We start from the raw sequence: 21,151 nt of genomic DNA, 5'->3' as shown, positions 1-21,151 counted from the left end.
CACCCAGAGCCACCACACGTAGACAATCAAAAGAGATCTCACGGAGGATCAAAAAACCTGTTTTGTTGCAGGGACTATCTTGTTCATGAAGGTCATTTCCGTAATCCCTGAGCCCATCGCTGGCCTCTCCAGGATGTGATTATACATAAATACTCCAATGGGCACCCTAAGGTGTAGAGCTGAGTCCTGGTCCAGCTCCAAGGAAATGCCCTTGAATGTGAAGGCAGAGCTATGTCCTTGCCATCCGCCACTTAGACAATAAAAATGATGTTGCGGGTCGGGTGCGTTGGCTCACGCCTGTAACTCCTGCACTTTGGGAGGCCGAGGCGGGCGGATCACGAGGTCAGGAGTTTGAGACCAGCCTGGCCAACATGGTGAAACCCCGTCTCTACTAAAGATACAAAAAATTAGCCGGGCGTGGTGGTAGGCGCCTGTAATCCCAGCTACTTGGGAGGCTAAGGCAGGAGAATTGCTTGAACCCGGGAGGCGGAGGTTGCACTGAGCCGAGATCGCGCCACTGCACTCTAGCTTCACGCTACAGGGCAAGACTCAGAATTAAAAAAAAAAAAAAAATGGTGCTGTGCATCAGAACTCTCCCAACAGCAGGGAATTCTGGGGGAGCCACTGCTTCTTGGCTGCTTTTCCTGGCAAAGTCATCCCAAGCCCTTGTTATAACCTGTTTTGGCCATTCGTTGCCACTTCTATGTTTTGCATACCAAATATGAAGAGCCCCAGTTGGTATTCTAACAAATCTGTCCCTTTTACCATCTCCATTTTAGAAAAAAGAATGTCCCAGAATAAGTTTGGAAAAGCAGTCAATCTCTTAGCAATTACCGTATTAAACATATCTTAATGCCCTACAAAAATATTCTAAAATACCATCCATAAAGCAAGTGCTCACTGCCTAGATGTACACTGCAAGTAAAATCTTTGCCAAGTGGCTTCAGGTCTGGAAGTGTGTCTTTTCCTCACCAGTTCTCCCTCTACGTTAGTGTAGTAGAAAGACAATTCTCCATGGTCAAGAGTTTAAAAGCAAACGACAACAACAAAAAACTGGCAACAGGGGGCTGTGCAAGACTACCATGTACCTATCAAACTGAAAACTACCATCCTATCCATTGACCTGCAAAGCTGTTTATCAGTGAAAAAGTTACAAATGTTTACGAATGAAACAGAAAATCTAAAAAACTGTATGTGCATTATACTTTTTAAAAATGTGTATGTATATTTAGGAATACCAAAAACACAGCAAGAACACAGGCCCATAGTAAACATGGTTAAGAGTAACGGGGACAATCAGTGACTTTGTTTCACTACTCAAACAAATTTTTGCAAGATATAAAAAGTAACAATTAGTAAGATGATCTCTGTCAACTTCAACCCAAGCAAATTTCTCCAAGGGAGGTGTGGGAACCTCTAAGACAGAGCCTTCTTCGAGGGCTCCATCTCCATCTCTGAGCTTCGTACCCCTCCCTGCGTGAAGCAGGCATCTTCAGTGATTTTCTTCTAAGCAGCGTACACAAAAAAAAGTCTCACAATTCCCTGCAGATTACCGAGCTCACCCCATTCCAACCCACAAGGCTGCCCAGGCCTGGTTCCAGTCCCATTTTCTCCCACAGGCTGCTGCAGGAAAACAAAGAGTGGCTGGAGGCAGGGGCGGGGAGCACCGGCTCTGCAGCCAGCGCGGAAGCGCACGGCCAGAAAGAGACCGGGAACGTCCGCCAGGCTCCCGGGCTCAGCATCATCTGCGGGGGACGGCGGACCCCGCCAGGCGCGGGCTCCCAGTGGGGCGGACCCGTGGCCGCGGCCCTGCGCAGGGGACGCCCGGGCCCCGCCGACTGCGGCTTCCAGGCGACTCCCCAGTCGGCTGTGCCTGGCCGCCGGCCGGCTAGGGGCGCAGGTAACGCCCGACGGGCCGCCCCGCAGAGACCCCCGCTGGCGCGGCTCCGGGACCGGCGCCCTCTCAGCGGGCACGGGCGCACAGGGCGGGGCAGCGCCTCACCTTGGGGTCGCGCTCGTAGTAGTGCTGCTGCGTGCGGATCCAGCGGCCCACGAGGTGGTCGCGCACCGTGTGCGCCAGCGCGAAGAAGTAGTCGCGGGGCGTGGCCACATTGCGGTCCTTGACCAGCGTGAAGTGCAAGTGCCGGTTGAAGCTCTTCCGCACCTCGGCCACGTCGCCTAGCCCCGCCAGGCCGCGCACGCTGATCTGCTTCCGCTTCTCGCTGTCCGTCAGCGGCTTCGCCATCGCGCCGGCGGAGGCGGAGGAAAAGAGATGGAGGAGGAAAGCGGCGGCACACGCGAACGCCGGGATGGTGCAGCTGCTCTGGCGCCGCTGCTCTGGCGCCCGGCACTGCGGCTCTGCGGGCGGGATGGACCGCGCCTGCGCGCCGCGCCGGGGCGGGGCCTCGGGGGGCGGGGCGGGGCCTCGGGAGGGCGGGGCGGGCGTCCAGGCTCATAGCTGAGATCTCTGGTGTAGTCCGAGGCGGCAGCGACCTGTCCACGCCACCTGAGCGTGGTGTTTGCCCCCTCGTTGGGCAAGCCCGGCAGAAAGTGGGAGCGACTGGAGGGGGCAAGGGACCCGGGGCCTCGGAGCGTGCCGTCGTGGCCGCTCCTGCCAGCCCGGGGACGGTGCGGGAAGGGGGCCCTGCCCTCCGGCCCTCGGGTTCCTGGGACCGGCCCTCCCGCCCTGCACCGGGTCACCAGGTGCCCCGCGGGAGCGCGCTGGGCTCGGGCTGTGGCCGAGACCTGGTACACGTTCGGGGAAACTGATTACAGCTTGAAAGGCATCCACCAACGCCTGCTGGGCCCGGTCTTCTCTGTCCGGGGCAGGGCGGCTCTGAAAATACCAGCTATTTGCTTGCCACTCCAGGCCGATGACAGACGTGGAGAAAACCAGCTGCCAGCGAGCTGGAGACGCCCGTTCCCGAGGGCGCGAGGCAGCCACAGCCAAATGCCACCACGACCCCGCCTCGGAGGGACCGCAGCCCCCTAGCCCTCGGAGAAACCCTGTTCCCGAAACCACCTGGCAGACGCTGTCCGCTTTGAGATTACAGCAGGGAGAAGGAAACATGCCCGTCTGGCCGGGGAGCTCAGCCACTAACCGAGACTTAGCCTCTGTCATCCCAATCCAGGCTGCAGCTCCAGATAGGGGGCGTCTGCACACAGCTTCCCACACTTGGCCCCGCGGAACACAGTCCTGCTGGCCTCAGCCTGTGGGAACCCTGCTTCATGTAAAGGTCACCTAAACTCTGCCTTCCCTCAACCCCTTCAAACTCTGCCTTTCCCTTCGTTCTTGGGAGGCGCTCCCTCATTGCAGTGGGTCAGTACACCCGATTTTGTGGACCACAGGTTTGCTCCTGGTGGTCTTGGGCTGAAGGGGCTGCAAAGGTTACTGAATTTCGTGGAGGTAAAAATTGCCCGCAGGAAATGTCATGAAAGTCCAGGTGCAGTAGGTTTCCTGGTGTGATGCTTCAAAGTTATCTTCTTACCTGGAGCCCCTTCCAGCTGCAGACTTCAGAGGTCGGAGGTTAATCAATCTGGAATGACCCCACAGCCCACCCAGCTCCAGCTCGGGATTCACTCCTGCACTATGTCCTAGGGATTCTGGAGCCAACAAGATCGAACTTCGGGCACAGATGGCAGGGCTGTGGGGTCGAGCTTGGCTGCAAGCTCCGAACACTGATGCAATCTCTCTGAGGGTGATCTGGCAATTCAGAAGTCATAAAAATGATAGTGCCCTATGACCACTTCTACCACTCTGGGGAATTGAGTTCAAGGAAAGCTTAAGAAGACAAAAAGCAAGTTATGCAAATATGTTATCTGCTGTGGTGTGGTAAAGTTTAATCCCCCAGCTGTGGTGCACACCTGGCAAAGAATGGAGGCGCTGACACTTATTGATCATTACTTGCAGTGTACACGTATTAACTCCTGATCCCTGCAAATAGCCTGCTATTACCCCCGCTTGACAATGGAGAAGGTGAGCCACAGAGAAGTTAACTCTTCCCTAAGCCCACACAGCTAATAAGGGAAACAGCCAAGGTTCACCCCAGCCAAGCCCTGCTCCACTGCACAAGCCCAGAAAAATGTATCTGTGCTCAAAGTTAATATCATAAACCATTGTGCTGCTAAAAGGAATGACTGTTTTAATAGCTAGCTAGGAAGGTGTGATTGATGACACAATACTGATAAATGAAACACAAAAATAAGGATGTAATGCAGAAATGACAGTAATGATTTGAATATTACTTTCATTTAGTCAATTTAAATTTAAATTAAATAACCACATGTGGCTAGGGACTACTGTGTTAGAAACACAGGTGTATATCCAAACCTAAACACTGGTTATTTCTGAATGGAAGAATTATCAGGGGGGTTATCTTATTTTCTCCATACATTTTGTATTTCCTGTTTTTTCCACAATATTTCTTTTGTAAGTGGAGTAAGTTTTAGTAAGAAAAACTAGAGGCCACAGACTTCACTAATGGATGCTGATTTAAGGCCTATATATTCTCTTACTGGATTGACTTTTAATTCTTTGTTACTCTGGTTAAATAAATTTTAAGTCCTTTCTTTCATAGCTACACTTTATTAAATTTTCCATGATCCTGACAAAAATTCTTTGACCAAACTCTAGTCAGGCTTCTGAGCCTTGTAGGGCCATCATACACTTCCCTGTGACATCTGTTTTAGCAATCCCTGCTTTGTCAATTTAGCAGGATTCCCTGCCCCTGATGTCTGATCCCCCTTGGTGACATCTGATCAGGCTCCCCATGCTCCACCATCCCCCATGCTGTCCAATCACCCTGGCCTGCCTTCAACAGGAATCCTATGAGGTGGTTTAGACACAATCACCTGGACCCCTGAAGTGTCCTCTTAGTAACTGTCCATCCACTGACCCCTCCCCCAGTCCTTGGCTATAAATGCCCACTTGCCCATGCTGTTTTCGGAGTTGAGCCCAATCTCTCTCCCCTGCTGCAAGATCCCGTTGCAGTGGTCCCTGTACCTATCATGATGGTTGTGAATAAAGTCTGGTACCATGCTTTAACAAATGCTATTGATTATTTTTTTTCTTTAACAGTTATCTTACCCAGATGTCATTTCCTCTTCCTGGGAGCTGCCATGGTCCTTCCCCTCTCCTGCAGCACTTAGTCCAATACTGAATCTTCATGATGTGACTCTTCATAATGCGCATGGTTGACGCAGGAAGGAGCCCTCTCACCATCATGTCTCCTCACCTCCTCTGGCCGCTAATATTGCTGAAGTGGCTAAATGAGTCCCAGTATTAATTATCTCAGCCATTTTCAGGTAATTTATTTATTTATTTATTATTAATGTTTTTGAGATGGAGTCTTGCTCTGTCACCCAGGCTGGAGTGCAGTGGTGCAATCTCCGCTCACTGCAACCTCCGCCTCCTGGGTTCAAGCAATTCTCCTGCCTCAGCCTCCCATGTAGCTGGGATTATAGGCACTCACTACCATGCCCAGCTAATTTTTGTATTTTTAGTGGAGACAGGATTTCACCATGTTTCTGGGCTGGTCTTTAACTCCTGACCTCAGGTGATCCGCCCGCCTCAGCCCCCCAAAGTGCTGGGATTACAGGCGTAAGCCACCGCACCTGGCCATCATTTTCAAATAAATAATTTTTAGATAGTTTTAAGTGTTGTAAAGAAAAGCAGGTTGAGCTGTTAGTTACAGGAGGTGATATCTCAGCTGAGACTAAAAAAAAAAAATGAAAGAATGGACCAGGTGCAGTGGCTCACACCTGTAATCTCAGCACTTTGGGAGGCCAGGGTGGGTGGATCACTTGAAGTCACGAGTTCAAGACCGGCCTGGCCAACATGATGAAACCCCGTCTCTACCAAAAATACAAAAGTTAGCTGGGCGTGGTGGCGCATGCCTGTAATCCCAGCACTTGGGAGTCTGAGGTATGAGAATCGCTTGAACCCGGAGGTGGAGGTTGCAGTGAGCCGAGATTGCAGTCTGGGCGACAGGGCAAGACTCCATCTAAAAAAAAAAAAAGGCATGAATGAATCTGGGGGAATAGCAAATGCAAAGGTCCTGAGGTGGGCATCCACTTGGACAGTTCACAAAAGAGGCATCTGAGGGGCATTGGGATACACCACCCCAAAATATGCCTCTTCGCATGTGGATTATTTTGAATTAAAGGCCATTAAGAACCAGCAGACCACAGGAAAGGCTCTAAAAACCATTTTCATTTTGTAAAAAAAATTCACATTTATTATAAAGGAAATTTCCACGTCTCCCTCTTCCATGCAAGGAAGAGGATATCTTGTAACAACTCTTATCAGTGGAAGAAAGTACTGACTTAAGTCTGCATAACAAACCTTCCTAAACAACCCTTGTTTACCATACTTTTCCTGGGCACCTTCTGCTGAGGTTTGAATATACCCTCCAAAACTCATGTTGAAATTTAATTGCCATTGTATAAGAGGTAGGACTGTTCAGAGGTGATTAGGCCATGAGGCCTCCACCCTCAAGGATAGATTAATGCCATTGTGGGAGTGGGTTGTTATAAAAATGAGTTTGACCCTCTCTTGTTCTGTCTCTTTCACCCTCTCTTGTACTTCCACCCTCCTTCCATGGGACAATGTAGCATAAAGGCCCTCACCAGATGCCAATGCCATGCTCTTGGACTTCCCAGTCTTCAGAACCATGAGCCAGATAAGCCACTTTTCTTTATAAATTACACAGTCTGTGGCATTCTGTTACAGCAGCACAAATAGACCAAGACACCTTCCCACTACATGCCTCCCCTGCCCAGAAGCTCCAGGCCTTTTCCTTTATGTCAGCCTAAGATGATAGATGAACCCAAGTCCTGACCACACTTTGGGTTATTCATTGCCAGGTACTGCCACATGTAAGTGCAATGCACATGCCAATAAACTTGTTTTTTTCTTGCCTGATTGAATTGTCTTTGGCTGGTGTAATTAGAGGCCCCCTAGCTGGAGACCCTAACATGGGCTGGGGAAAAGATTTTTTTCCTTCTGTAAATAACCAAGAGTTGGATTCAGCTTCATCTTCCATTTTAGCAACAAAACTGCCAGGCTTCAGAACAGGCAAAATGGAAAGAAATTGGGCTATGCTTTTATTTTATATAAAGCTGAAAAGCAGTTTTGCCCTTCTAAGAGAAAGGATTGTTCTGGCAGCCTGGATCAGAGCAGTGATCAGGCCAGAGCATCTGCTAACCTCAGCATCAGGGAATCCCTGTTTTAGACTGTCCTCTACGTCTCTGTCTTCTCCTTTTGGGAGGTAATTTTTAAAAAATCACTAAGAAGGGATGGATGCTGGTTCTGGTTTCGTTACTGTTGTAGGGAGCTATTCTGTGTTGCTGGAGATAATACATTACCTTTAAAGTTCTTTTATCTTTTTGTTTTTGAGACAGGGTTTCATGGTGTTGCCCAGGCTGGAATGCCATGGTGTGATCACGGCTCACTGCAGCCTCGATCTCCCAGGCTCAGGTTATCCTCCCACCCCAGCCTCCCAAGTAGTTGGAACTACAGGTGCATGCCACCACGCCCAGCTAATTTTTGTATTTATTATAGAGATGAGCTTTCTCTATGTTGCCTAGGCTGGTCTTGAACTCATAGGCTCAAGCCATCCACCCAACTCGGTCTCCCTAAAGTGTTGGGATTACAGGCATGAGCCACTGTGCCCAGCCTGAAGTTCTTTAAATAGGTATTTAAGATTCTGTCTGTAGCAAGTCCCCTGTCATCTGCCTCAGAAAAAGAGATGAAAGATGTCTTGTGAATGGAAGAAGATGCTGTGGGACTTAGAAGCGGGGTGTGGAAAACAGACATTTTTGGTCGGCTAGGCTTAAGCTTCTTGAGGACCTGAAGAGTGTCTCATTGATCGCTGGTGAAATGAGTGACTCAGAAGCACCGCCGGCCCTTGAGACCGCAGGTGCGGAGGGAAAATCTCTCTGGGATCCCAGCAACGCCACTGGCAGATCTGTGCTGGTCAATTTCGTGTTTGCAAATGAACACAGACCCAGGCTTTCAGGAAACAGAGATAAATAACAAATGCATTATTTTTGAGAGGCTGGTAATTATAAAGCTCGAGGGAATAAAGAGCCCACCAGCTGGAATGACACTGTGGAACTGATGCCCTCCCTCCACTGGGGTGTGTCAACAGATATTCTTAGTGACATTAATGATTTTAACACACTGACATTAAAGGAAAAAGAATCTATTGAAGGGCTGGGTTGCCCCTCCACACCTGTGGGTATTTCTCGTTAGGTGGAACGAGAGACTTGGAAAAGAAAAAGACACAGAGACAAAGTATAGAGAAAGAAATAAGGGGGCCCAGGGGACCAGCGTTCAGCATATGGAGGATCCTGCCAGCCTCTGAGTTCCCTTAGTATTTATTGATCATTATTGGGTGTTTCTCGGAGAGGGGGATGTGGCAGGGTCACAGGATAATAGTGGAGAGAAGGTCAGCAGATAAACACATGAACAAAGGTCTCTGCATCATAGACAAGGTAAAGAATTAAGTGCTGTGCTTTAGATATGCATACACATAAACATCTCAATGTCTTACAGAGCAGTATTGTTGCCCGCATGTCCCACCTCCAGCCCTAAGGCAGTTTACCCCATCTCAGTAGATGGAACATACAATCGGGTTTTATACCGAGACATTCCATTGCCCAGGGAGGGGCAGGAGACAGATGCCTTCCTCTTGTCTCAACTGCAAAGAAGCATTCCTTCCTCTTTTACTAATCCTCCTCAGCACAGACCCTTTATGGGCGTCGGGCTGGGGGACGGTCAGGTCTTTCCCTTCCCACGAGGCCATATTTCAGACTATCACATGGGGAGAAACTTTGGACAATACCTGACTTTCCTAGGTGGACGTCCCTGCGGCGGCCTTCCGCAGTGTTTGTGTCCCTGGGTACTTGAGATTAGGGAGTGGTGATGACTCTTAATGAGCATGCTGCCTTCAAGCATCTGTTTAACAAAGCACATCTTACACAGCCCTTAATCCATTTAACCCTGAGTTGACACAGCACATGTTTCAGAGAGCATAGGGTTGGGGGTAAGGTTATAGATTAACAGCATCTCAAGGCAGAAGAATTTTTCTTAGTACAGAACAAAATGGAGTCTCCTATGTCTACTTCTTTCTACACAGACACAGTAACAATCTGATCTCTCTTTCTTTTCCCCACAATCTATGAGACCAGAGTGATACTGAGAAGAAATGAAATGGAGATAGGGAAGAAGGAAGCCGCTCCTCTCTACAGGATGCCAAATCAATGCAGGAGGAGATTCTGAGAACTACTGGACAACGGCCACAGGGGAACAGGGGATTCATTCCATCTCAAAGCCTCACCCTACACATTATCTTTATTAGCTATAAAAGGGAAAAGGGATTTGCAATGGAGAGTTATGGCAGACTCCAGCCTCATGAAGTGACACAACTTAGCATTGCCACCCAGGGGACAAACCCACACTATGAGTCTGATTCAGTGCACCAAGAAGGACAAACATCACTTACTCTGCTATAACATAACGCAGTATATTATACACTAACATATGTAGTATATTACATTACATAATAACATAGTACAGGCTTCTAGGACACAGTTTATAGAAGTGCAGATAATACTTGAGGCAGTTTCCCAAACTTGCAAATAAAAACTCTCCACAGGGCTTGTGACTAGCACATTCCCAAAGCCCCAAACCCAGAATTCCACCTGCTTAGTGAGCACCTCCAGAGCACTTTTTTTTTTTTTTTTTTTTGAGACGGAGTTTTGCTCTTGTTGCCCAGGCTGGAGTGCAATGGCAGGATCTCGGCTCACTGCAACCTCCACCTCCCAGGTTCAAGCGATTCTCGTGCCTCAGCCTCCTGAGCAGCTGGGATTACAGGCACCCACCTAATTTTTGTATTTTTAGTAGAGATGGAGTTTCACCATGTTGGTCAGGCTGGTCTTGAACTCCCAACCTCAGGTGATCCACCCACCTTGGCCTCCCAAAGTGCTAGGATTACAGGCACGAGCCACTGCGCTCGGCCATCTCTAGGGCATATTTTTACTGTGCAATGTGGGAATCTCTGCCATAGGGTGGGCTGCCTTTCTAACCCAGTGGCCCGGTTCTAGCAGGACTTCCCCAGTATGTGGATGGGGGCACAGGGACTCTTGGGGGGGCCTCAAGGCATCTGTGAGCTAGGCCTAACCACCGCTACTGAATGACTGCGAGATGAGTCCCAGAGCTGGGACGAGAGTGGGCCTGGTACCCTGCCCCAGCCCTCCCCTGACAGGAGTTAGTAAGGGACAGGTTAGCATGCTAAAGAGATAGCAAGCTGGTCACAGCCTAGGGCCACCACCCTTCTGTCTTACAAGTCAGAAACATGTCCTGACTTTGGGGGAGAGGGTATATGTTAAACGGGCCCACCCTGGGAGCTGTAGTGGTCACTGTGGAGCTGAGCACTGGGCTGCACTCCTCGCTGCCCCAGAGTGACCAGGTGGGTGGTTTCATCCAAGAGGCAGGGCTCAGAAGGCCAGGCTGAGCCACCGATATGCATGTCTGCACCCCACCACTTCCTGCTCAGTCTGTATCAGGCCCGGGATGAAATCGTCACTTAGACGCTCAGGGGTCCTCCCACCCATCTGGCCAACACAAACCTGCCAGCATAGCACTGAGTGGAAGGTTCCAGTGCACCCACAGGCCTGGCTGTTAAAATGTCCGGCCTCTCCAGAGGACAGGTTAAGTTCACACTGAGAAAGCCTGGCTCTCTCCAGCTAGCCTGAATTAAAGTGAGAAGGATGAGCACAGCACCTGTGGAAATGGCGCTGGAAAGCAAGTGTACCTAGGAACTGCCTCTGGGCCACCGAAGTGCGCCGGCCCAGTGTTCTCAGACAACCCAGGAGGAGTCCTCCATCTGGCCACTTCCCACCCGTTAGGCCCCGAGGGGACACCAGGTTGGTGAGACCCGGACCCCACCAGCAAAGGACCCTTCCTTCATTCATCACACACTGGCTCCATCTGCACTGCACCTACTGCCAGCCAGGCACTGAGCTTCACATCCGCACAAAACACAAAGACCTCTGATACGGTTTGGGTCTGTGTTCCCACCTAAACCTCGTGGTGAATTGTGATTATGTTGAGTTGTTTTGGAGGTAGGGCCTGGTGAGAAGTGACTCGATGATGGGGTGGATTTCTCATGAATGGTTTAGCACCATCTCCTTGATGCTGTTCTTAAGATAGTGAGTTTTCACGAAATCTGGTTGTTTAAAAGTGTGCGCCCCACCCCTTGCTTCTGCTCTGGCCATGTGATCTGCCTGCCTTCCCCTTCGCCTTCCACCATGATTGTAAGATTCCTGAGGCCTCCCCAGAGGCTGAGCAGATATCGGTACTACGCTTGCTATACAGCCTGCAGAACTATGAGCCAATTAAACCTCTTTTCTTTATAAATTACCCAGTCTCAAGTATTTAGAGCAATGCAAAAATGGACTACTACAACCTCACGGTTCTGGAGGCTGAAAAGTCTAAGGATGGAGTGTCCTTCTCAGTGTGCAGTCAAGATGCCGGCAGGTTTGGGGCCTGGTGAGGCTCTTTGCTTCTTCCATGGTGTCTTTTGCACGGTGCGTCCTCCGGAGGGGAGGAAGGCTGCATGCTTACATGGCAGAAGGTGAAAAGCCAAGAGAGAACCCACTCCCAAAGCCCTCTCAGTAAGGCATTAAACCCACCATAAGGGTGCAGCTCTCATGGCTTAATCGCCTCTTAAAGGCGCCACCTCCCAATACCATTACACCAGCAATCGAAATTCAACACGAGTTCTGGAGGGGAAGGCATTCAAACCCTTGCCCCTTCTCTGAACCGGTGGGACTTGCCCAGCATGCCAGACTGCCTGGGCTCTGACTCCTTCCTCAGCCTGTGTCACTACGGCCCACAGTTGCATCAAAGCATGCTGCTCTCCATCTCCAGACTCCCAGCCTGGCATTTCCAATATTCTCCCCTTTCACAGCCCCTCAAATCCAAATCCTACAGCAAATGCCGGAGATTCTATTTCAGTCCTTTCTTGTCAGGACTGACAGTGTCAGCTGGAGCCCCTGTCCTTTGGGACACCTGTGAAATGGTCCTGAACACCTCAAGTTGGACCCCCTCAATATCAGTTTGGGGGTGTCCCTGATGTCACCCACTAACCCTAATGTGCTTCTCAGCGCCTTCAGTTTCCACATCAACACAACTCCTTATAGGTTAGTACAATCCCTTTGAAAAACTGGCAGTGTTCACTGAACAAATGCCTCCCTATGACCCAGCAATTCTACTCCAAAGAAAACACCCAACAGAAATGAATACTTATGCTCACCCCAAGGCAAGTACAAGAACGTTCAGAACAGCCCTATTCAGAACAGTCCCAAACTGGAAATGATGCAAACGTCTGTCATCACTGGAATGGATAAATACACTGTGGCATATTCACACCAACACAAGGATGAGTCACCTACGACTTCGCTCTCCCACATGGATGAGTAATGCTGTGTGAGGGACCAGCCCAAAAGAGCACATCCTGTTCCCCAAAGCCCTCAGGCGTCAGACCTCTACCCTGTTAGGAAGGACAGTGGCTGAACCTCCCGCTGCATGCAACTGGAGGGGCTGTGAGGAGTGGGGTCTGGAGAAGCTCTTCATTGCAGTCTGGTGTATGCAAGTGTGACAGTGTACTATGGGCACACTTGGCAACCACCACCTGTGGGCAGCATCTGTGGGTGTGACAGACCTCCCTGGACCTGGGCCATGGGCCTGCGGGGTCCCACATCCCACGGTCATGGGCCGTCCACCATCTTCCTCCCTACCTTATCTAATGCCTCCTGGCCCTCCCCACACCCAACAGGGCTCTAGGTCCTTCGTTAAGGCCAGTGGTACCAGCGACACCCAGGCCTTCTCCACAAGCTACAAGGAATCTGCCCAGCAGCCAGTCTTCCCAGGAGGAGGCCGGGGGCCACCGGCTCAGGACTTGCCTTGCATTTTTTTTTTTTTTGGCATGATCTAGGCTCATTGCGACCTCCACCTCCCAGGTTCAAGCGGTTCTCCTGCCTCAGCTTCCTGAGTAGCTGGAATTGCAGGCACCCACCACTGCACCTGGCTAATTTTTTGTATTTTTAGTAGAGACGGGGTTTCATCATGTTGGCCAGGCTGGTCTCAAACTCCTGACCTCAGGTGATCCACCCACCTCAGCCTCCCAAAGTGCAGGGATTACAGGCATGAGCCACCGCGCCCAGCCATTGTGTTTTGTTCCTTGTGGGGATGCACATCCCTCTTCCAACCTGTGGCTACTGCTCTTGGGGTCCTGTTGCTGGGGGCCCTGCAGTAGACTCCACACAGGTCCTCCTGCCTCCTGGGCCCTCCTCAGAGCCTCCACAGGCTGCAGACTCCACTCCCCAGATGGAGGTCTGAGCCCGGCACCCTTCCTGCAAACCACTACCTCACAAAAAAGACAAGAATCCTACACCCCCAACCCAGACCCCTTCCTGGCAGGTCCTCAGGCTGGGCATGGGCAGAGCAAAGACAGACTTGAGGAGGTAACCAGGGTGAAGGCAAACACTGGGCCAAAACCAGTGGGCATCCTGATGTGTGGATTCCAAAGGGACCAGGCGAGCAGGGAGCAGTACTGATGTCAGGGAGGCCGGAGGGAGACAGAGGAAGCCCGTAATCAGGGAGCTTGGGAGCTGCCTGCTGGGCAGGGAGGAGCTGTGGACACCAATCGGGCACTCTCAAGCCCTTCCCAGCCTGGCTGTCTCCCTCCTCTGGCCCTTCGGTGTTTCCCTTGGGAGTGGTGTGGGTCCCTACCTGGACTCATCCTGAGGAAGCTGCCTCCTGGAGCAGGCAGGATGCTGGAGCTCCGTGTGGCCGGCCCTGGTTCTCTGCGAAGCCGCTCCTGAGAGCCTGCCTAGTGCAGAAGTGCCCCGAGCTGGCTGCTCTTCCTGCCTAAAACGGGGCACTGAGCACAGGAGCCTCTGGATCTGATCCCCTGCCTGTTTTTGTACGGCTCTCAAGCTAGGAATACCTTTTACATTTTTAAATGATTGAAAAAAAAATCCAAGTAATCATGGTGTTAAAATGATATGAAATTTGAATTTCAGTGTCCATAAATCAAGTTGGGACACAGCTTCTCTCATTCATTTACAGTTGTCTAAGTTTCTGTCACTCTTCGGCAGCAGAGGTGAGCAGCCAAAACAGAGACTGCATGGCCTGCAAAGCCTGAAATATTTACCGGCTGCTCTTTACAGAAAGAGTTGGCCGTTCACTACCCTGGAGTGTGGACCTCTGGGCGAGGAACCTGTATCCGTAGCGCTGCCTTGCACGTCCAGGCTCACAGGTGAGTCCTCAGGAAGGAGTCCCGTTGGTTCTCTATGCAGCATGCCAGGCAACAGGGTGCTTGGGAGGGGAGGCAGGCTGGCCTGGGCAGGAGGATTCTTGGAGGCTCCTTTAAAATTCACTGCCTCACTCAGGGTGATGCACATTAAAACTCCATGGAGCCAGGTGTGGTGGCATGCACCTGTAGTTCCAGCTACTCCGAAGCTGAGGTGGGAGAATCACTTGAGCTCAGGAGTTTGAGTCCAGCCTGGGCAACTTAGTGAGACCCTATCTGTTCAAAAAATGACAACAGCATAATAGGACAGCAGTACTCCCCCCAGAACAGTTAATATTAAAATTACGGACAGTACCAAGTGCTAGCATGGATGTGGAGCAACTGGAATCCTCACACACTGCTAATGGGAGAGTAAAATGTTACAGCCATGTTGGTAGGTTTTTTTTTTTTGGAGACGGAGTTTCGCTCTGTCGCCCAGGCTGGAGTGCAGTGGCACCATCTCAGCTCACTGCAAGCTCTGCTTACCAGGTTCACACCATTCTCCTGCCTCAGCCTCCCGAGCAGCTCGGACTACAGGCGCCCGCCACCACGCCCAGCTAATTTTTTTGTATTTTTAGTAGAGACGTGGTTTCACTGTGTTAGCCAGGATGGTCTCGATATGCTGACCTCGTGATCCGCCCACCTCAGCCTCCCAAAGTGCTGGGATTACAGGCGTGAGGCACCGCGCCCGGCCATTAGTAGGTTCTTATAACCGGTTATAACTGGTTGGTAGGTTCTTATAAAGTTAAACATTCACATGACATATGACCCAGCCATTCTGCCTTTAGATATTCATCCAAAAGAAATAAAAATATATGCCTATAAAAGCCTTGCACAAGAATGGACACAGAAGACTTATTCATTAAAGCTCCAAAGAGGAAACGGCCCAGGGGAATATCAACAGGCAAATGAAGAAACAAAGTGTGGTATGTTGAAATAATTGATTACTATTCAACAATGAAAAGGAATGAGCTGCATGCATCCACCTGCATGAATCTCACAAACATCATGCTTAGCTGAAGACCAGACACACAAGAGCAGACACTGGATGATGCCATTTACATAATGTTCCAGAACGGGTGACAGTAATACGTCATGACGGACATCAGATAGGGGCTGCTAGAGTCCAGGGGCAGGGTACTCTCAGAGTTTTCTGGGGTAATAGCAATGTTCTCTATTTTGATGGGGGTGTGAGCCACATGGGTGCATGCATTTGCCAAAATGATTTGAACTGTACACCTAAGATCTGTGTGTCCTATTATGTGAGGAAAAGAGAGATCAGATTGTTACTGTGTCTGTGTAGAAAGAAGTAGACATAGGAGACTCCATTTTGTTCTGTACTAAGAAAAATTCTTCTGCCTTGAGATTCTGTTAATCTGTAACCTTACCCCCAACTCTGTGCTCCTTGAAACATGTGCTGTGTCAACTCAGGGTTAAATGGATTAAGGGCTGTGCAAGATGTGCTTTGTTAAACAGATGCTTGAAGGCAGCATGCTCCTTAAGAGTCATCACCACTCCCTAATCTCAAGTATCCAGGGACACAAAACACTGGGGAAGGCCGCAGGGACCTCTGCCTAGGAAAGCCAGGTATTGTCCAAGGTTTCTCCCCATGTGATAGCCTGAGATATGGCCTCATGGGAAGGGAAAGACCTGACCATCCCCCAGCCCGACACCCATAAAGGGTCTGTGCTGAGGAGGATTAGTAAAAGAGGAAAGAACGCCTCTTTGCAGTTGAGACAAGAGGAAGGCATCTGTCTCCTGCTCGTCCCTGGGCAATGGAATGTCTTGGTGTAAAACCCGATTGTATAGTCCATCTACTGAGATAGGGGAAAACCGCCTTAGGGCTGGAGGTGGGACATGAGGGCAGCAATACTGCTTTTTAAGGCATTGAGATGTTTATGTGTATGTATATCTAAAGCACAGCACTTAATTCTTTACCTTGTTCATGATGCAGAGACCATTGTTCACGTGTTTACCTGCTGACCTTCTCTCCACTATTATCCTATGACCCTGCCACATCCCCCTCTCCGAGAAACACCCAAGAATGATCAATAAATACTAAGGGAACTCAGAGGCTGGTGGGATCTTCCGTATGCTGAACGCTGGTCCCCTGGGCCCCCTTTTTTCTTTCTCTCTACTTTGTCTCTGTGTCTCTTTCTTTTCCAAGTCTCTTGTTCCACCTAATGAGAAACACCCACAGGTGTGGAGGGGCAACCCACCCCTTCACTATTATATGAAAATGATACCTCAATAATAAAATATTCTTAGAAAAACATTCACTAGGTCAAGGTAAAACCCAGAGAGAGCTAGTGACTCAAGACCCCATCAGGCAGGGGATGTGGCCACTCTGGGCCTCACAGCAGCAGGAGGAATTCCAGTGGAGGCTTTAAGCCCAGTGTGATTTGTCCAAGGGGAAGTAAAGCAAGGCTCCTGGCAAAAGCCTGTTTGCTCTGCCCAACCATTTCACCTCGGCTGTTTGGCTTGGGTGGAGTCCAGGCCAGGCACACCCACTGAGAAAACAGGAGGATCGCTGGCTGCACTAGGAAATGCCGGGGTGGGGGTGTGGAGGAGGACCAATATCCCCAGTGTGAGGATTTCAATTCCTCTCCTTTTTAGAGGCAACCTCCCGTCACTCAACAGGTGGCTGAGGGACCCCCGCACCAGGGCAGCACCTGCTGGACTTGGGTTCACCAGCGAACGAGCAGGTCTGATGCTCCTCTCAGGGTCTAAGGTGAGGCAAGGACAACACTGAAGTCTAAGGTTTGAAAAGACAAGAGAAGGTCATCTGCTCTCAGACTAGAATGAGCTTTACCTCAGCGGAACTTTCTGGAGGAAACCTATTGTTTTCAGACTGTTGCCTTCTAGAGTTCGAGTCTTCATTTTTCAAACTGCTTTACTGAGATGTAATTTTTATACCAGAAAGCTGCCTGTTTAAGTGCACAAGTCCATGGTTTACAGTATATTTATGGAGTTGTGTGAGCAGCACCATAATCTAAGTGTTAAACTTTTTCAAAAGCCCTGCGCACCAGTCAGTCAGTTACTCTTCCTTCTCCCAACCCCAGCTCCTGGCAACCACCAATCTGTCTCTGTGGACGGGCCATTTCACATAAATGGAATCATAGACTACAGAGTCCTTTGTGTCTAGCTTTTTTCACCTTAGCATAATGTTTCCAAGGTTCACCATGTTGCAGCATGGGTCAGAAATTCAATTCTTTTTTTCTGAGTCTCGCTCTGTCGCCCAGGCTGGAGTGTGGTGGCGCAATCTCGGCTCACCACTACCTCCGCCTACTGGGTTCAAGCGATTCTCCTGCCTCAGCCTCCCAAGTAGCTGGGACTACAGGCGTGTGCCACCACGCCCAGCTAATTTTTTTTTTTTTTTTTTTTTTATGACGGAGTCTCGCCCTGTTGTCTAGGCTGGAGTGCAATGGCGCAATCTCAGCTCACTGCAACATCTGCATCCCGGGTTCAAGTGATTCTGCTGACTCAGTTTCCCGAGTAGCTAGGATTACAGGTGCTCACCACCATACCCAGCTAATTTTATTTTTGTATTTTTAGTAGAGACGTGGTTTCACCATGTTGGCCAGGCTGGTCTTGAACTCCTGACCTTGTGATCCACCCACCTCAGCCTCCCAAAGTGCTGGGATTACAGGTGTGAGCCATGGCACCTGGCTAGAAATTCAGTTCTTTTTAAGGCTGAATACTATGCCAATGTCTGGAGAGTCAGTAAAAAAAGTCCTCTGAAATCTCTTAATTTATAGAAAGCTGAAAACCCTAGTTTATATTATACAGGAACTCTCACACACTGCTAATGGGAGTGTAAAATGTTACAGGCGTGTTGGAAAATGGTTTGGTAGGTTTTTTTTTTTTTTTTTGAGATGGAGTCTCACTCTGTTGCCAGGATGGAGTGCAGTGGCACAATCTTGGCTCACTGCAACCTCCGCCTCCCGGGTTCAAGCGATTATCCTGCCTCAGCCTCCTGAGTAGCTGGGGCTACAGGCACACGTCACCACACCCAGCCAATTTTTGTATTTTTAGTAGAGACAGGGTTTCACCATGTTGGCCAGGATGGTCTTGATCTCTTTACCTCGTTTTCATGCGCGTCCCTGTGAAGAGATCACCAAACAGGCTTTGTGTGAGCAACATGGCTGTTTATTTCACCTGGGTGCAGGCGGGCTGAGCCCGAAAAGAGAGTCAGCAAAGGGTGGTGGATTATCATTAGTTCTTATAGGTTTTGGGATAGGCGGTGAAGTTAAGAGCAATGTTTTGCGGGCTGGGGTGGATCTCACAAAGTACATTCTCAAGGGTTGGGAGAATTACAAAGAACCTTCTTAAGGGTGGGGGAAATTATAAAGAATCTTCTTAAGGGTGGTGGAGATTACAAAGTACATTGATCAGTGAGGGTGGGGCAGAAACAAATCACAATGGTGGAATGTCATCAGTTAAGGCTATTTTTACTTCTTTTGTGGATCTTCAGTTACTTCAGGCCATCTGGATGTATACGTGCAAGTCACAGGGGATGCGATGGCTTGGCTTGGGCTCAGAGGCCTGACACTCGTGATCTGCCTGCCTCGGCCTCCCAAAGTGCTGGGATTACAGGCGCGAGCCACCGCGCCGAGCCCAGTAGGTTCTTATAAAGTTAAACATTCACATGCCATATGACCCAGCCATTCTGCCTTTAGATATTCATCCAAATGAAATAAAAACCTATGCCTATAAAAAGACTTGCACAAGAATGTTCACAGAAGCCTTATTCATAAAGCTCCAAACAGGAAACAGCCCAGGTGACTATCAACAGGAAAACTCTCCCTGTTTTTTTGTTTTTTTGAGAGTCTTGCTTTGCCCCCTAGGTTGGAGTGCAGCAGCACAATCTTGGCTTACTGCAACCTCCGCCTCCCAGGTTCAAGTGATTCTTGTGCCTCAGCCTCTCAAGTAGCTGGGATTACAGGCATGGGCCATCATGCCTGGCTAATTTTTATATTTTTAATGGAGACATGGTTTCACTATGTTGGCCAGGTTGGTCTTGAACTCCTGACCTTGTGATCTGCCTGCCTTGGCCTCCTAAAGTGCTGGGATTACAAGCATGAGCCACTGCATCCAGACTCTCCTTGTTGCCTTATTTATTTGAGACGCAGTCTCGCTCTGTCGCCCAGGCTGGAGTGCAGTGGCTTGATCTCGGCTCACTGCAACCTCCGCCTCCTGGGTTCAAGCCATTCTCCTGCCTCAGCCTCCCAGGTAGCTGGGACTACAGGCGCCTGCCACCATGCCTGGCTAATATTTGTATTTTTAGTAGAGATGGGGTTTCACCATATTGGCCAGGCTGGTCTCGAACTCCTGACCTTGTGATCTGCCAACCTCAGCCTTCCAAAGTGCTGGGATTATAGTTGTGAGCCACCGCACCTGGCCTGCCTGTTGCTTTAAGGTAAGTCCTTGCAGGCCTCTGAGCTTGGGCATTTTAATTTACAAAACCATGCGATCCCTGGCTGTCCTCCCTGGTAGGTCTGCAGGAACTACAGCTCTGTGCCAGCTGAGCACTCGACCCTCTCGGAAGCCGTATTTAGAGCCATCCTACCACCCTGTGCTGTGCCATAAAACTTGGCTGTGGGCTCTTCTGACCTCTAGAGAGGCTTCTTGAAACAGGAGGCCTTATAGGGGGATGTCTGCTTCTGAACTATGTAAATCATGTGGCAGGTACTAAGATTCACAAGGCTGCACTTAAGCTCTTAAACGGAAACCTTTATCCACTGAATCAATAACAGGAAAATAATCAGAGGCTGTCAAAATGATAAAGCAGCAGTGAGGCCTAGAGGGAATTATTATTTCTCTCAACTGTGTAACTATTTTTGTAAGCATTACAAGCACACTGTTATGGAGATGGCTGATTCTTCAGTGGAGAGACCTGCCTTTGATAATGAGCACACGGCCTGATGTGATCAGTAAACATTCCTCTGGAAACACTTGCCACTTTGGGAGGTAAGGCAGCCCACTGTTTGGGTGTAGGAAGCCTGCAGAACCGCATCTGAGTGGGTCCAGGTAAGTCCCCAAGCTCCTGCAGGCCTGCTTCTCTCTCGGCGGCAGGGCGGAGATGCACGGTACCTACTTTGAGGCTGAGGATTCAATCTCTGACCACACAACGCACAGTCCAGTCCGCATCATGCCTGACACACAGCAAGCACTCCATAAACACGACTACCGTTATTCATTTACAATTAAGGAAGAAAGAGGTAAGTATGCTTACCTGACCATGATTTTCAAAATCATTTTCAAGCCGAATCCAAGAATCTGATGAGTGTGAAGACACTGGAAGAACCTGATCACGCAGGCTCCTTTCTCAAGCACCCCGATGCCCGCAGGTGAAGGGGCACATGCCAAGGACAAGCCCGCCTCAGCCCTGGACATCGTTCATCGCGCGAGTGAGCAATGCTTGAGTGAGAAACCTGACAGCGGTGTCCCCATAACTTCCACCGCCTCTGGAGCCACCCGGCAAAAGCCAGCGTCTGACAATCCTTCAGTAATAGTGAAGACACCTGTTATATTGCTGTCCAGCCAAAAGCTCCTTGTTGCAGGATGAACAGCCCCAGTTGTTTCAAACATGCCCCACATCTCATGGCCTCCACACAGGTCGTATTAAACACCTCTAACAGAGACTGCACGCCAAGTGTGGCTCCTCAAAGACCTTGCCTGGGGACTCTGCCACTGATGGCTGCGACCTGCACACTCCTGAGAGCTCCTTCCTGGAACTGCCTCATTTCTCTCATCATCCTTGATTTTTTGAGATGGAGTCTCAGTCTTGC

At 49.9% G+C, this 21,151-nt stretch overlaps 1 protein-coding gene and 1 long non-coding RNA gene across 3 annotated transcripts in view, besides 13 other annotated features; one reads left to right on the top strand and one right to left on the bottom strand.

Moving 5' to 3' along the window:
* Positions 1–2,339, bottom strand: part of PYGB (glycogen phosphorylase B) — a 49,928-nt gene extending 47,589 nt beyond the window's left edge. For both annotated transcript variants that reach the window (NM_002862.4, XM_047440342.1), the window contains exon 1: positions 2,003–2,339. In NM_002862.4, coding sequence (NP_002853.2) covers positions 2,003–2,245 — 243 coding nt within the window. In that variant the 5' untranslated portion in view covers positions 2,246–2,339. The remainder of the gene's footprint in view (positions 1–2,002) is intronic.
* Positions 1,696–2,075: a silencer, noted in NCBI's record as "silent region_12746". NCBI's record gives its function as "represses an Ori minimal core promoter by ATAC-STARR-seq in GM12878 lymphoblastoid cells {active_cell/tissue: GM12878}" and the evidence as "EXISTENCE:reporter gene assay evidence [ECO:0000049][PMID:35858748]".
* Positions 2,226–2,305: an enhancer, noted in NCBI's record as "active region_17665". NCBI's record gives its function as "activates an Ori minimal core promoter by ATAC-STARR-seq in GM12878 lymphoblastoid cells {active_cell/tissue: GM12878}" and the evidence as "EXISTENCE:reporter gene assay evidence [ECO:0000049][PMID:35858748]".
* Positions 2,386–2,575: a silencer, noted in NCBI's record as "silent region_12745". NCBI's record gives its function as "represses an Ori minimal core promoter by ATAC-STARR-seq in GM12878 lymphoblastoid cells {active_cell/tissue: GM12878}" and the evidence as "EXISTENCE:reporter gene assay evidence [ECO:0000049][PMID:35858748]".
* Positions 2,586–2,775: a silencer, noted in NCBI's record as "silent region_12744". NCBI's record gives its function as "represses an Ori minimal core promoter by ATAC-STARR-seq in GM12878 lymphoblastoid cells {active_cell/tissue: GM12878}" and the evidence as "EXISTENCE:reporter gene assay evidence [ECO:0000049][PMID:35858748]".
* Positions 2,956–3,035: a silencer, noted in NCBI's record as "silent region_12743". NCBI's record gives its function as "represses an Ori minimal core promoter by ATAC-STARR-seq in GM12878 lymphoblastoid cells {active_cell/tissue: GM12878}" and the evidence as "EXISTENCE:reporter gene assay evidence [ECO:0000049][PMID:35858748]".
* Positions 3,054–3,307: a silencer, noted in NCBI's record as "fragment chr20:25227753-25228006 (GRCh37/hg19 assembly coordinates)". NCBI's record gives its function as "represses an EF-1alpha promoter that drives an FKBP-Casp9 reporter gene in an ReSE screen in HepG2 liver carcinoma cells {active_cell/tissue: HepG2}" and the evidence as "EXISTENCE:reporter gene assay evidence [ECO:0000049][PMID:32094911]".
* On the top strand, positions 5,958–21,139 carry LOC105372579 (uncharacterized). Its single transcript, XR_001754564.3, has 3 exons — positions 5,958–15,286; positions 16,977–17,091; positions 20,626–21,139. It is a non-coding gene; the product is annotated as an uncharacterized LOC105372579 (long non-coding RNA).
* Positions 7,988–8,605: an enhancer, noted in NCBI's record as "NANOG-H3K27ac hESC enhancer chr20:25222455-25223072 (GRCh37/hg19 assembly coordinates)". NCBI's record gives its function as "activates a minimal SCP1, AML or CMV promoter by ChIP-STARR-seq in naive H9 embryonic stem cells {active_cell/tissue: H9 hESC(naive)}" and the evidence as "EXISTENCE:reporter gene assay evidence [ECO:0000049][PMID:30033119]".
* Positions 11,797–12,996: an enhancer, noted in NCBI's record as "BRD4-independent group 4 enhancer chr20:25218064-25219263 (GRCh37/hg19 assembly coordinates)". NCBI's record gives its function as "activates an origin of replication core promoter dependent on BRD2, P300/CBP, MED14 and CDK7 cofactors, and independent of BRD4, by STARR-seq in HCT116 cells {active_cell/tissue: HCT116}" and the evidence as "EXISTENCE:reporter gene assay evidence [ECO:0000049][PMID:35650434]".
* Positions 11,797–13,097: a biological region, named in NCBI's record as "BRD4-independent group 4 enhancer GRCh37_chr20:25218064-25219263".
* Positions 12,297–12,591: an enhancer, noted in NCBI's record as "tiled region #4288; HepG2 Activating DNase unmatched - State 4:PromP, and K562 Activating DNase matched - State 5:Enh". NCBI's record gives its function as "activates a minimal TATA promoter and a strong SV40 promoter by Sharpr-MPRA in HepG2 and K562 cells {active_cell/tissue: HepG2 | K562}" and the evidence as "EXISTENCE:reporter gene assay evidence [ECO:0000049][PMID:27701403]".
* Positions 12,321–13,097: an enhancer, noted in NCBI's record as "H3K27ac-H3K4me1 hESC enhancer chr20:25217963-25218739 (GRCh37/hg19 assembly coordinates)". NCBI's record gives its function as "activates a minimal SCP1, AML or CMV promoter by ChIP-STARR-seq in primed H9 embryonic stem cells {active_cell/tissue: H9 hESC(primed)}" and the evidence as "EXISTENCE:reporter gene assay evidence [ECO:0000049][PMID:30033119]".
* Positions 19,841–19,890: a silencer, noted in NCBI's record as "silent region_12742". NCBI's record gives its function as "represses an Ori minimal core promoter by ATAC-STARR-seq in GM12878 lymphoblastoid cells {active_cell/tissue: GM12878}" and the evidence as "EXISTENCE:reporter gene assay evidence [ECO:0000049][PMID:35858748]".
* Positions 20,071–20,150: an enhancer, noted in NCBI's record as "active region_17664". NCBI's record gives its function as "activates an Ori minimal core promoter by ATAC-STARR-seq in GM12878 lymphoblastoid cells {active_cell/tissue: GM12878}" and the evidence as "EXISTENCE:reporter gene assay evidence [ECO:0000049][PMID:35858748]".
* Positions 21,140–21,151: the final 12 nt, after the last annotated feature.

This window comes from Homo sapiens, chromosome 20 (genome assembly GCF_000001405.40).
Source record: "Homo sapiens chromosome 20, GRCh38.p14 Primary Assembly".
NCBI lineage: Eukaryota > Metazoa > Chordata > Mammalia > Primates > Hominidae > Homo > Homo sapiens.
This window is presented reverse-complemented; position numbering and strand designations above follow the sequence as displayed.